This window comes from Homo sapiens, chromosome 14, assembly GCF_000001405.40.
Source record: "Homo sapiens chromosome 14, GRCh38.p14 Primary Assembly".
Classification (NCBI taxonomy): domain Eukaryota; kingdom Metazoa; phylum Chordata; class Mammalia; order Primates; family Hominidae; genus Homo; species Homo sapiens.
Window position 1 is genome coordinate 87,006,975 of NC_000014.9, and position 13,737 is coordinate 87,020,711.

Genomic DNA, 13,737 nt, shown 5'->3' on the forward strand with positions numbered 1-13,737 from the left:
TTTCCTTGTGTACAAATACCACATTATCTTTATCCATTCATCTGTTAATGGAGACTTAGAGTAACTGAGTATCTTGGGTATTGTTAATAATGCTACAATGAATGTGCAGCATTATCTTTTGCAAATATCTCTTTGAAACACTTCATTTCTTTTGAATTTATATTCAGAAATGGAGTTGCTGAATCATATGGTAGTTTTATTTTTATTTTTTGAGGAACCTCCATACTGTTTTTCATAATGGCTGTACTAATTTATGTTTCCACCAACAGTGTGGGGGAGTTCCACTTTCTTCACATCCATGCAAAGGCTTGTCAATTTTTGTCTTTTTGATAGTAGCGATTCTAATAAGCATGAGTACTATTCCGTTGTGGCTTCATTTGCCTTTCCCGGATGATTGTCTTCGTTCATTTTGTGCTTCTATAACAGAATACCTGGAGCTTGGAATATATAAAGAAGAAAGGTTCATTTAGCTCATGGTTCTATAGGCTGGGAAGTTCAAGATTTGGTGGCTGCCTCTGGTGGCTTCTAGTGAGAATCTCATTCTGTGTCAAAACATGGTAGAAAAATGGAATGGAAACAAGGCACTTGGGGGGAAAAAGAGGGGCAAACATGAAAGGCAACTTTGTTTTATAACAACTTGCTCTCACAGAAACTAACCCATTACTGAGTAAACCAAACTAATCTCTCAAAAATGACGTTAACTTATATTCATGACCTAATCACCTCTTAGAAGCACCACTTTTTAACACCACCACATATAAGACCAAGATTTAGCATGAGTTTTTCAGGGTAACAAATTATATTAAACCATCACTGTGATGTTGAGCATTTTTCCTATACTGTTGGCCTTTTTAAAGTGTTTTTAAAGAAATATCTGTTTATGCTTTTTACCTATTTTTTAATCAGGATGTCTGTTTTCTTGCTATTGAGTTTCTTAAGTATTTTGGGTTTTAACCCATTATTAGATGTATTGCTTGCAAATAGTTTCTCTATTTTCATAGACTGTCTCTTTATTCTGTTGATTGTTTTCTTTCCTGTGCAGAAGCTTTGTAGTTTGATGCAATCCCATTTGTCTATTTTTTCTTTTGCTGTTTATGCTTTTTAGGTCATATCCAAACATTCTTGGCCAACACTAATGTCAAAAAACGTTCCTCCTATGTTTTCTTCTGGTAGTTTTACAATTTTTGGTCTTATGTTTGATTCTTTAATCCATTTTTAATTGATTTGTGTATGTGGTATAATATAGGGTCTAATTTCATTCTTCTGCTTGTGGATATCCAGTTACCTCAGTACAATTTATTGAACAGATGATCCTTTTCCCATTATGTGTTCTTAGCCATCTTTGTCTAAAATCAATTTAACATAAAAGGGTAGATGTATTTCTGGGCTCTGTATTCTGTTCCATTAATCTGTATATCTGTATTTGTGCCAGTACCATACTGTTTGGATTACTATAGCTCTGTAGTGGATTTTGAGATCAGATATTAAGATGTCTTGTTCTTTCAGATCAAGATTGCTTTGGCTATTTGAGGTTTTTGTGGTTTCATACAAATTTTAGGACTCTTTTTTTGTTTCTGTAAAAAAAAGTCATTGAAATTTTGATAGGAGTTTTATTGAATTTGTAGATTGCTTTGGATATATGGACATTCTAGCAATATAAATGATTCCAATTCATAAACAAAAAATATCTATTTATTTGTATCTTCTTCAATTTCTTTCATTGCTTTATAGTTTTCAGTGTGTAGATCTTTCAGAGAATCTTGCTTCTTCTTATTCCATCTTTAAAAGAGGAAAAATATCTGTCCAAAACTGCAGTGTTTTAATAGCAAAAAATATCTGTATAGAATCAGATAATTATGAGCACTGAATTAGATGCTGCTTTGAAATAAATTGATGATAAACAAAACCTTCAAGGAAAAAATAAGATTAAGTATGTTGGTAATGTCCCAGACTTTTCTCTCCACCACCTGGCTAATTGTAATATCTGACTTCTTCATTTTAATTGATGAAAAAATTGATATCTTAACCATGAGAAATGCAGTCTGTGTATCTCAGACTGTACCCAGTTTCTGTGTGTTCTATAGCTGTTACACCAAGCTGTAGGTTTTATATGTACATATTTATGCCTTTGAAAATATGCTCAGTATGTGCAGTTAAATGTTACTGGATTGGGTCAATATTCCATGTGATGTGCTAAGTATAGCTAAGCTGAGTCACCTGACAAGTCCCTGCAGTTAAGAATTTAATTTATAACACCTCCCAGTACAAAGAAATAAAAATAAAGTACCACTTACATGACATTATATAGTATAAGTTATGTATCTCAATTTCTCCAGCGGCTGAAGCTGTTGAGCCAGCTTCAGCTGGAGAGACAACTGGAGAGAAAGGCTTACATTTTCATAAGGGGAGAATCCAAAAATTTTCTTCTATGTTCTGTAATAAGGAGGCAAGAGTCCTATTCCCATTTAATTCAAGCAGTGATTTAAATGAATGTTTCTGTGTTTGTTATTGCCATAAATTTTAATCATACATGCACCTTTTAGTCTAAAATATAAAAGTGTTTCTTCAAACATAAGGTAAATCGCTCAGATTTGAAGAGTAAAACATTTTCAGTGATGTGGTAATTTATGCAAATGGAGGCTCAGTGGTCTTCTCAGGACAATTGGCAGGATTTAAGAGAGATAGAAGGACTTTTAGATGTGACTGTTTTACTAATTGAGGATGTGTCTGATGTGTCGGGGTCATCAGACTTTTAGCTGCATCTGATGTGATTGAATGAGTTTCTGTAGAAAATATAAAATGCTAGACAAGGATTGAGGAGTGGAGAACACCTAGATTTATTCCCAGAGTCTACAAGCCTCCCTCTGGGTGACTTATGCAAGCTTATGTTCATATCTTTAATATGAGAGGCATGGAGAGAAGATAATAGAGAAAATAATAATAATAGTGATATGATGATACTAATACTTAACATTTATTCATAATTTTTATATGTAAACATTGTTTTATTACTCCATGTGATTTATGTTATTTAAAAAAAACACAATCTTTAAAGCAATAAGCATATTAAAGGCCCTCAGGGAATAGGGCCTGTACAAAGGGGATTTTCAAGTGAAAGAATCTAAAATAAAGGGAGTCTATGACTAATCTCTGCTACATCTCCACCAAATAAAATCTTGCTATTTAGCAACTATGAGACCTGCTGCATTATCTGGCCTTCATCCATTCCTGCCCTGATCATTCACCATGCAAGATATTTACCTTGTGATTGTTAATTTTATGTCAACTTGAATGGACCACAGGGTGCCCCGATTGAACACCGTTTTGTGGTGTGTCTGTGTGGGTGCTTTGGGATAACCTTAGCATTTGAATTAGTGGATTTAGTAATGCACATTGCCTTCTTCAATGTGGTGGGTATCATCCAATCTGTTGAGAACTTGAAGAATACAAGAGGCGGATGAAGGAGAAACTCACTTTTTCTTTTTTTTTTCCGTTTTACTGCGTGCACTGGGTCAGCTTATTTCCTCTTCTACCTTTGGACTGAAATTCATACCATTGACTCCCTGATTCTCAAGTCTCTGGACTCTGACTGAATTACACCCGTGGCCACTGGCTTATTCCAGTTATGCAGCTTGCAGATGGCAGACTGTGGCACTCCTCAGTCTCCATAATCATGTGAGACAATTCCTCATTAAGTTTCTCTGGAGAACCATAACTAACATACTACACCTTCTTCCTTTTATTTTGTACAAAAGAATTTTATTATATATGTCACACAAAGTTTACATACCTATAAATATTAGATACACCACGTCATTCTCAAAAAATGAATTGAAGAGGACACTAAACAAATTTGAAGTAGATAATATTGTTCTCCCCATTTCTCAGATTTCAGCACTCAGACTTGGAGAGGATATGTAATTATCTCATGCTACACACTGGTGAATGGCAGACCAGGGACATGAAACCCAGGCTATCTAACCTCAAATCTGCCCCCTTTTAAACAGAAGACTGTGTTGAACACATTTTTCGCTTCTATCAGCCCCTTGAAAGGGGAAGGGCACCTAGACTGGCTGTTACCATTGCACTTGGGAAAGCTAATGATAAAGCTTGCAGAAGCTCTTCCAGCCCTAGGAAAATGAGCCAAACAACTATCTTATTTGAAGAGTTACAAAATGAATTGTTACAGGGAAACTTAGAGGTCAGTTGCTTACAGCCAATTTCCTTCTCCAAGGTTGTACCCACAGTTTTGGGCTCTGATATGTCACATTCCCTAGAATTGCTACCTCCTCTTAGGTACTCAATTGATGTTTAAAAGAAATCAATATGCAGTTTTAAGTCTCACTGACAAGGGAAGGTGGATTTTTGTTTCCCGATATATCAAGATAACTTGCTCCTGTAAAATTATTAAGTCTGTGTGACTTGTTGGCCAACCTGACTTCAAATAAAGTTATTTCAAAGGATAATAAAAGTCCTCCAAGCTCAGAAGACAAGGAAGACCTTAATTAAAATCAATGAAGAAAAAATCTGTAAAACAATTAAGCACTTAAGTTGACTCCTTTTAATTTGAGGTCTGAAGGTCTTCTTGGGAAATTCCTAAATCACTGAGATGATTTAATTTGGCTGCCTTGAATTAAGTCTGGTGAAATAGAAATGGTCTCTCAGATACTGTATAATGTATAATACTCAGAAGCATTATAGGAGTAGTAAAAACCAAAGATACAAGAAAACATTTATTTAAAGAAACAGGTGCAGGAGTTAGTTGTCCTCTGGAATAGATTTTTACAGTGGAAATATTTAATAGGCTGTTTATTTAAGAAAAATCCAGTTGGAGCCATTTTCTCTGAGACACAAATGGAAATTTAGTAGAAATTTTACCCTAAAAAAATCTATGATTCCATCTCAAATTTTTTCTAGAATTCAGTGTTTATTGAAATAAATGTCAGTGAACAAGATAGAATCATTCTAGCATTTCTATTAAAACTGTTGTACAAAATAGGTAAAGTGATGAATGACTGTGGAACTAGTTGTTTTGTTCTTTATTTTGATAGACATCTGTTGTTCCTACTGCCTAGTGTTGGTTGAATTTCCTTTAGGAAGTTACCTTTTTCCTTTTCTTTCCATAAGGTTTTGGGGCTAACCTTAGCTCCAGAAATATACATGTGATCCAAATCAAAGCCAACTTGACATTCTGTTTGCCAAGATCCGGTGTAGACATATGATTAAATTTGGTCTAAAATTAACACACAAGAGTCGAATCTGAGGCTTTGTATTGAAATTATTAGAGAAAATTCTCTTTTTAATTTTTTTTTTTTTCTGAAACCATGTCAGGTTCATACTTTGGGTGGATTCGAGCCTAGGAGAGTTTGAACTGAGTTTGCTAGGGTCATTATGTGAAGGAAAAAAAAAAAAAAAAGAAAAGAAAAAAATGAAGAGATGCCAATTCCTGATGATATTGTTTGGACTCCAGGATCAAACTAATTCCCAAGCCTACACCTAAGCTTGGCGGGATTGCTACTGTTTCTGCCTAATACTACTTGATGTGGTTTTTCCATGTTTGCAAATAATCAAGTAAATATTTCTGAGAATCCTTATTTTATCTCACTTGAGTTTCAAACGGGTGATAACCATTTTATGAAGTAAATGTACACATTTACTTTAGGTTTCTTTCTTAGGAAGTAATGAATTCTCATTATTTAAGAAAGATTTCCTGGTGAGTAGCATTTTTTAACTCCTAAAGGAAGATATTTAATCTATTTAAAGAGTTTTCTCATTTACCCTCAAATTTGAATACCTGTAACGACTGAATAGATCTGCATAGAATTCAGCTCATCCCATTTATGAGGCCCTGTCTTTTCCGAAAGGATGATATAGACTGCAGGCTTGTATTTCCATTGAACTCATATGCTGAACCTCTAATTCTTAATGTGATGGTACTTGAAGATGGGGATTTGGGGAGATAATTAGGTCATGAGGATGAAGCCCTCATGGTGGCATTAGTGATCTTATAAGAAAGAGACAAAAGAGAGCCTGCTTCCTTTCCTGCTGTCTACCAGTTGAGAAAACCAGGGAGAGGTCACTCGCCAGAACCCAATTGAGTTGACATTCTGACCTCAGACTTCCCAACCTCTAGAACTGTGAAAAACAACTGTTGTTTAAGTTACCTAGGACGTGGTATCTTTTAATAGCAACTTCAAATGACCAAGACATATGCCTTAAGCAAATAGCACACCATAAAACAGAATAATAATCTGAAATTTCTGATTATTTTTATAGAAGACTGACCCTAATTGGTCATTTGACAAGTTGGTATAGGCAGATAACTAGTGGATAGAGTGCCCTTCTAAAGTGAGTTCAAGGTAACAATAGTTGACTAATAAATGACAAACATTACACTGAAACAAAGAAAGTTTAAACTATTTAATACATCCCATATTTAAATCAATGTGACCTAGTTTTTTAAATTTCTTAAATCCATGAAGTGTTGTCATGTAAGTTAACCATTGTACCATCATAAAAATGGGTTGATTCTATTAATTAAATTTCTCTCCATAATGTTTATTTAGGAGTAAAAAAGAGAGAGAGCTAAGCTAATGATATCCAGTTGTGAGAATTTTTACCTACCGGGTTGAGTTGGTCTTGTGTGAACTTGGTTGAGTCAGTCTTATAGGAACAGTCTTTAGGAAACCCAAGCTTTGACCCTCTGGTTAGTGATGAACTTGCTCTGCAATTATTTAGGTCCTTTTATCTTTCCTTTTGCATCTGCAATGGGTGACATATCCTCCACTGAGTCACTTTTGACTTTAAATTATGAAACGATGCCAAAACTCCTTGCAAAAATAAAGGGTTCTGTATGTGATTCATAACCAAAACAATAATGTTAACCTCTACACAGTCTCCTAAAAATAATTATGCTTCATAAACTCCAAATCAGTACAGCTGGCTTGAGTTTCATTTTTAACCCACATTAACTTAGAAGCATTTGATCAAGTAAATTCAGCTTAAAAGCAATAGACAAGCTAGAGAATAGATGGAGGGTCTGGTTAAGAAAAGAGATCAAGATGGAAAAGTCAGAATGATTTTGGTAATTTTTGTACATAAACACAGGTCTACCCTCAAAGCAGGGAAGTAATTCCTTGCTAAGCAATTCCCAAAGAGAGGCCTGATAAAGCCAGAATGAGTTAATATCCTTAGAAAGAACAATGCTGAAAAATACCAACCAATTGAGAAAATTATCTGTAACAGAAACTAGCTAAGCTGTGCTCATGTATTTTCTCAATTAGTTCATATAAAAATTTTAGGAGTTAGGTATTATTAAATTTCGTATTTTACAGAAAAGCAAACTGAAGTTGAGGGAGGTTAAGTAGCTCTTCCAGAATCACCTATTAGTTAGTGGTAAAATAGATATTTACACCAAGCTTGACTTGTTACTGGAAACAACTACAATGCATAACAAGAAACACCGTATTTTCTATTTACAAGGTATCATATAATTAAAAGTAAGAGTTTTTCTCACACTTGAAGATGAGCAGTCATTTAAAACCTTATTGTTAAAGCATTAAGGGTTTAAACTTTATAGATTAAAGTGTTTTTTTATTTTTTATTTTTTGGTTGTCCCACTAACCAATCTCAACTGTGAAAAGGAGCAATGACAATCAAGGCAGAGAATACTTTCTCAAAAAGCCTTCTAATTATATCAGCATATGACTGAAGATTGCAATAGGATTCCAAGAAAACCCAAAGTGTTCAGAAGGTACTGACTCCATGAGTCAAAACCTCCAACTGTCAGTGATACAACCCCAGTGTAATTAGCATACCCAATGAAAAAGAAGGGGCCAGCTTATTAGACGGCGTAACTGCTAAGTCTGAGGTTAGATAAAACTTCAGGCACACTGGAACCAAGAACAGAAATGATCATAAAAGCTTTCACTTTCTTTCTAATTACATCCATCCCCTCATCTTTCACCTTGACTTCTGCATGTTCAGGTCTCTTTTATGGACCAATTTCAGGGAAGGATTATGATTGACTTGTTTACATCACATCTCAATCTTTAAACCAATCAGTGCCACCAAGTGGTAAGGACTGGGAAGGTACATGCCCATAAATACCTGTTCCCCATTCTAATGTTAATTTGGGACAAACGGACACTGGGAAGACAGATGTGGCAGATATTCATTGCAGAGGCTGCTGTTTTCCTGTGCAACATATATAATACCTCATTTGCCTTCACGAAACTTCCAATGAGATACGAATATTATATTTAGAACAGTTGAGGTTCAGAGATCTTAACCATGTGGTTCATCATAACACACCTAGTGTCATCTTCAACACATGTACATGTTCTTAGCCATGATATTATAATGCCTCTAGGAAAGAAAGATATTGCTTGCCTATCAAGGGAGCACAATGTTTTTCCTCCATGCCAAAGCTATAAAGATTCAACGATCCATGCTAGATACCTAGAAAATGGAAAAATTCTTCGTTTGCTTTAAATGTAACCCGGGAGTTTTAAAACTTTCAGTATAGGCAGACCTATCTGAAAGAAAATGGAATCTGGCTCTGCCTAAATTTTCAGAAACTATAATGGAAACTCTCTGCTATTTTATTATCACAAAGTGAAAGCTTATAATGCTCAGCATTCTAATTTCTACTTCTCTTACTAACCTGATTGAGAATGATTGAATTAGACATACTGGCATGCAAGCTTTTAAAATAAGAAACTTATTTATAAGAAGACAGAGGTTAAAATGAGGAATATAGTATAGGCTTCTTCAACATTTCCTTACTGCTCTTGGACACAGAGATGAAGATTTTACCCTGATGTAGGTTTACAAGTATACGGAACTCTCTGAAACAGAAATAGTTGAATGTAATGGAATGTGTCCCTTGGCTATAAGTGGATGTCCAGTTATTTATCTCAGGAAACTAGAGAACTAAAGGGACAAGGTTCTGTCCCTTCAAAAGATCGTATTTTAATAACCCAGTCTCTTTGATTGAGAGCAGTATTGGGCTGTGTTTGTTTGTTTGTTTGTTTCATTCTTCTTTCTTTTTTTGTAATATACTTTAAGTTCTGGGATACATGTGGAGAATGTGCAGGTTTGTTACATAGGTATACATGTTCCATGGTGGTTTGCTGAACCCATCAACCCATCATCTACATTAGGTATTTCTCCCAATGCTATCCCCCACCAATCCCCCATCCCCTGACAGGCCCTGGTGTGTGATGTTCCCCTCCCTGTGTCCATATGTTCTCATTGTTCAACTCCCACTTATGAGTGAGAACATGCGGTGTTTTTCTGTTTCTGTATTAGTTTGCTGAGAATGATGATTTCCAGCTTCATCCATGTCCCTGCAAAGGACATGAACTCATCCTTTTTTATGGCTGCATAGTATTCCGTGGTTTATATATGCCACATTTTCTTTATCCAGTCTATCATTGATGGGTGTTTGGGTTGGTTCCAAGTCTTTGCTATTGTGAATAGTGCTGCAATAAACATAGTGTGCATGTGTCTCTTTTTTTTGTAGAATGATTTGTAATCCTTTGGGTATATACCCAGTAATGAGATTGGTGGGTCAAATAGTATTTCTGGTTCTAGATACTTGGGGATCGTCACATTGTCTTCCACAACAGTTGAACTAATTTACACTCCCACCAACAGTGTAATAGTGTTCCTATTTCTCAACATCCTCTCCAGGATCTGTTGTTTCCTGACTTTTTAATAATCGCCCTTCTAACTGATGTGAGATGCTATCTCTTTAATGCTTACTTCTTGACATGGAAGACAGAAGTATTATTAGTCAGTTTCTAAATCTCCTAATGTTTCTGCTCTTTAAATGATCTCATTTTAAATGTTTTTGTTACGTTTCAAGTTTTCTTTAAAAAATTGTTATGCTGTAATATCCATCTTCCTTGGCTGATATGTAAAGATTGGATATAATGATTACTGTAAGATATTGTAGGACATGTATTAGTCTAGTTGCACTAACACTTACCAAGAAAAGCTTATATATGTTAGGTTATGAGTTTGCATAATCCAAAAGCAATAGTGCAGTAAATAAAAAAATACCATTGTGAAGTTTTACCAGGGGTTTATGCTACAGATAATGGCCTACATTTTAAAGATAATTTTATCTCAACTTGGTAGATTCATCCCAATGAACATTTATTAAACACTGAGTAAAAGCTAAGTAGTTTATTTTTTTTTTAACCTGCGCATCACTGATGAAAGATACAAGGAATTTCCCAACTGCGAGAGAGGCCACATGCATTTCATGCCAACTATCGCCTGTGGAGCGGTGAAGAACTGTTACATTCTTAACAGTGTATTTAGACCCTGAAATATCCGAGGGCATCCCTAAATTCCTGAAATTTTAGCATGAGATATTTTAAAGCACCACAGCGTCTTAATTTTGCAAAAGTATTCTTTTCTAGAGATATTTAGAGTACTAAGAGTTTAGGAGGGCACTTCAAAGGATATGGTGAGTATCTGTTAGTTTTGGCTTCCAACATTCCTGAGCGTTATAGACTCTTAATGTATTGCAGTGAGCACCTGCTGTTACTTCTATAGATGAGACCAAAGACCATTAGCTGGGCAATTAAGGTAGTAAGTAATCCCTTTTGCTGGTCCCCAGATACTAAAGGGATGCCTTCTAGTTCTTTATCCCCTGCATAGTTAATCTCAGAGTTCAAAAGATTTTTGAAAAAAAAAATTACATTGCCTACATAAGGATTATGTAAGAATTAGATAAATACTAACTTTCTCAGCTCCACTTTTAACCAAAATCTTAATATGAGCTCTTGGTATTCATCCTTGAAGGATTCCTTATACTCAAATAAATTGTTGATTTTTGACAAGCACAATGACACAGAAAGCTAACATACAGTAACTTTATGCCAACAATTATATTAAATTTCCAAATTTAAGGACACATGTCAAACAAGAAAGTGTTTGCTTAAGAGGTCAAAATTAGTTTCTTCTTGAAACCAATTTTGGAATATTACTTAGATAACATAAAATGTACTTGAAGAAATTTCTTCTGATTTTTCATTTAAGATGTTATTTTTTAAGAGTACATCTTTTCATTTTATTATTTCTGATTTTTGTTTTTAAATCTGCAAGATCAAGGTGTGATTAACATATTGAGGTAAGTAGAGTATGAGTTGATCCTCAGTTGAGAAAAAAATGAAGATTTGTTTAAGGAAATTCAATATTTATTATAATTATATGATGAGTTAGCTTGCAAACCATCTTATAAAAACCAAAGTGATTATCTATCTATCTATCATCTACTTATCTCATCTACCTATCTATATCATATCTGTATCTTAGGCACCTCTAAGTTTATCCCAATTCCCATTTGCCAATTTGAAATTCTGTTGATGTCTTTTCCAAGGAAATGGTACAGATACTGAGATGGGAAGTTAAGAAAAAAACAGTAGAAATTACCTGAGGCATTGTTAAGAATATAAAGCCTCCTGTTAAAAATCTTGCCTGGAGACAATTCAAGTCTTAGTCACCATGCTTAAATAACTATGTAATTGCTGTCAAAGAAGTTTTACCTCCTTCAACCCAAATAGTGTCAGGTTTCAAGCCATATTATGGAAAAGAGATGGAGAAAAGTCAGTTTATTCTCATTGGATAAGAAAAGAGTCCACAATGATCTAACTGAGATTTATCAAGTTACATCTGACTTGATGAACGTTTGAGCAAGTCTCTCTTACATAAATAATAGATCCACATGAAAAAGAATGTATCTTGAAATTAGGGCTTTGGGAGCCAAAAGTCAGTTTTTTTAAAAAAAGAAATTATGCCGGACACGGTGGCTCACACCTGTAATCCCAACACTTTGGGAGGCTGAGGTAGATGAATCACGAGGTCAGGAGTTAAAGACCAGCCTGGCCAACATAGTGAAACCCCGTCTCTACTGAAAATACAAAAAAGAAATTAGCTGGGCGTGGTGGTGGGCACCTGTAGTCCCAGCTACTTGGGAGGCTGAGGCAGGAGAATTGCTTGAACCTGGGAGGTAGAGGTTGCAGTGAGCCGAGATTGTACCACTGCACTCCAGCGTGGGTGAGAGAGTGAGACTCCATCGCAAAAAAAAAAAAAAAAAAAAAAAGAAATTGTAAATTTTCCACTCCAAGCACCCCTGAATGGGGAAATGCAGGGCTGTTGAGATGGGGGCTGTTAAAACAGGATATACAGAGCAAAGAGGGAAATTAAGGAAGACTCGCTACTGAAATCTGTAGCAGTGTGGGGGATGACTGTCTTAGTTGTCATGGGAGATTAGGACTGGCATGCATCTGTCAGCATCACCTACCTAAAAGTACAGTTACTTTTATTAGGCAGAGTCTATCAGATTACTGTGAATTTTCTGACCCCAAAACTCCAAATGGTCTTTTGTGTCCAGAACATGCTTACTAATATATAATTTACAAGTCAGTGAATAAATGTAGCTTTATATTTATTAGTAGACTATATTTAGCATTCAAATTTGAGTGCAATTTCTAATAATAATGCATTAAGAAGCATTATTCTATTCTAATAGAAATATTACAATAGCAGTGTAGTTGATAGGATTCACAGAGATTTCTCCTATATTGATTCTTTTGAACTGGCTACAACCCTGTAAAATAGTCAGGGTTGGTATTTTTTATTCCATTACACCAAGAAAGAAATCTGAGCTTTTAGGTCTTAACTGGCTGCCTCAGTTTACATAGCTAGCTAAAGGCTAATAAGAAGCTTTGTAATGGAAAGGAGGTAGACCAGTGCATGCTGGTAAATAATGTGTAAGTAGTGGTTTTAGTGCTAGAAATCTATGGTAAAACCAACCTTCATAGCAATTGATGAAAGAAACTCAGTTTTAATACACAGAGAACACAAGCAATTTTATGGTTTTATCTCCATTAGCTCAGCCCCTTATTCATTTATTGGCAGTAGTATAGTAAGTAAATGGGAAACTATTATCCAGTCCCAAACATATAATATTTCCAATAACTTAATTATACCTTTGGGCTTTTCTTCTATCTCACCGCGGTATGTTCTCATCTTCCTTTCCAGTTATCACTCTGTTGAAGTTTGTGTTTATTATATGTATACAATATATATGACATATACACACATGGATATATCGTATATATGTATATATACATGTACATATAATATGCTTGTGGGGAAAATAAAGATCAGACTGTTATTGTGTCTATGTAGAAAGAAGTAGACATAAGAGACTCCATTTTGTTCTGTACTAAGAAAAATTCCTCTGCCTCGAGATGCTGTTAATCTGTAACCCTACCCGCAACCCTGTGCTTGCAGAGACATGTGCTGTGTTGACTCAAGGCTTAATGGATTTAGGGCTATGCAGGATGTGCTTTGTTAAACAAGTGCTTGAAGGCAGTATGCTTGTTAAAAGTCATCACCACTCTCTAATCTCAAGTACCCAGGGACACCATACACTGCGGAAGGCCGCAGGGACCTCTCCCTAGGAAAGCCAGGTATTGTCCAAGGTTTCTCCCCATGTGATAGTCTGAAATATGGCCTCCTGGGAAGGGAAAGACCTGACCATCCCCCAGCCGGACACCCGTAAAGGGTCTGTGCTGAGGAGGATTAGTAAAAGAGGAAGGCCTCTTTGCAGTTGAGATAAGAGTAAGGCATCTGTTTCCCTGGGCAATGGAATGTCTCCGTGTAAAACCTGATTGTATGTTCCATCTACTGAGATAGGAGAAAACCACCTTAAGG

General features: G+C 35.5%; 3 annotated features.

Annotated features, from left to right (window-relative positions):
• Positions 2,413-2,957: an enhancer, noted in NCBI's record as "NANOG hESC enhancer chr14:87475731-87476275 (GRCh37/hg19 assembly coordinates)". NCBI's record gives its function as "activates a minimal SCP1, AML or CMV promoter by ChIP-STARR-seq in primed H9 embryonic stem cells {active_cell/tissue: H9 hESC(primed)}" and the evidence as "EXISTENCE:reporter gene assay evidence [ECO:0000049][PMID:30033119]".
• Positions 10,051-10,913: an enhancer, noted in NCBI's record as "OCT4-NANOG hESC enhancer chr14:87483369-87484231 (GRCh37/hg19 assembly coordinates)". NCBI's record gives its function as "activates a minimal SCP1, AML or CMV promoter by ChIP-STARR-seq in naive H9 embryonic stem cells {active_cell/tissue: H9 hESC(naive)}" and the evidence as "EXISTENCE:reporter gene assay evidence [ECO:0000049][PMID:30033119]".
• Positions 13,067-13,677: an enhancer, noted in NCBI's record as "NANOG hESC enhancer chr14:87486385-87486995 (GRCh37/hg19 assembly coordinates)". NCBI's record gives its function as "activates a minimal SCP1, AML or CMV promoter by ChIP-STARR-seq in naive H9 embryonic stem cells {active_cell/tissue: H9 hESC(naive)}" and the evidence as "EXISTENCE:reporter gene assay evidence [ECO:0000049][PMID:30033119]".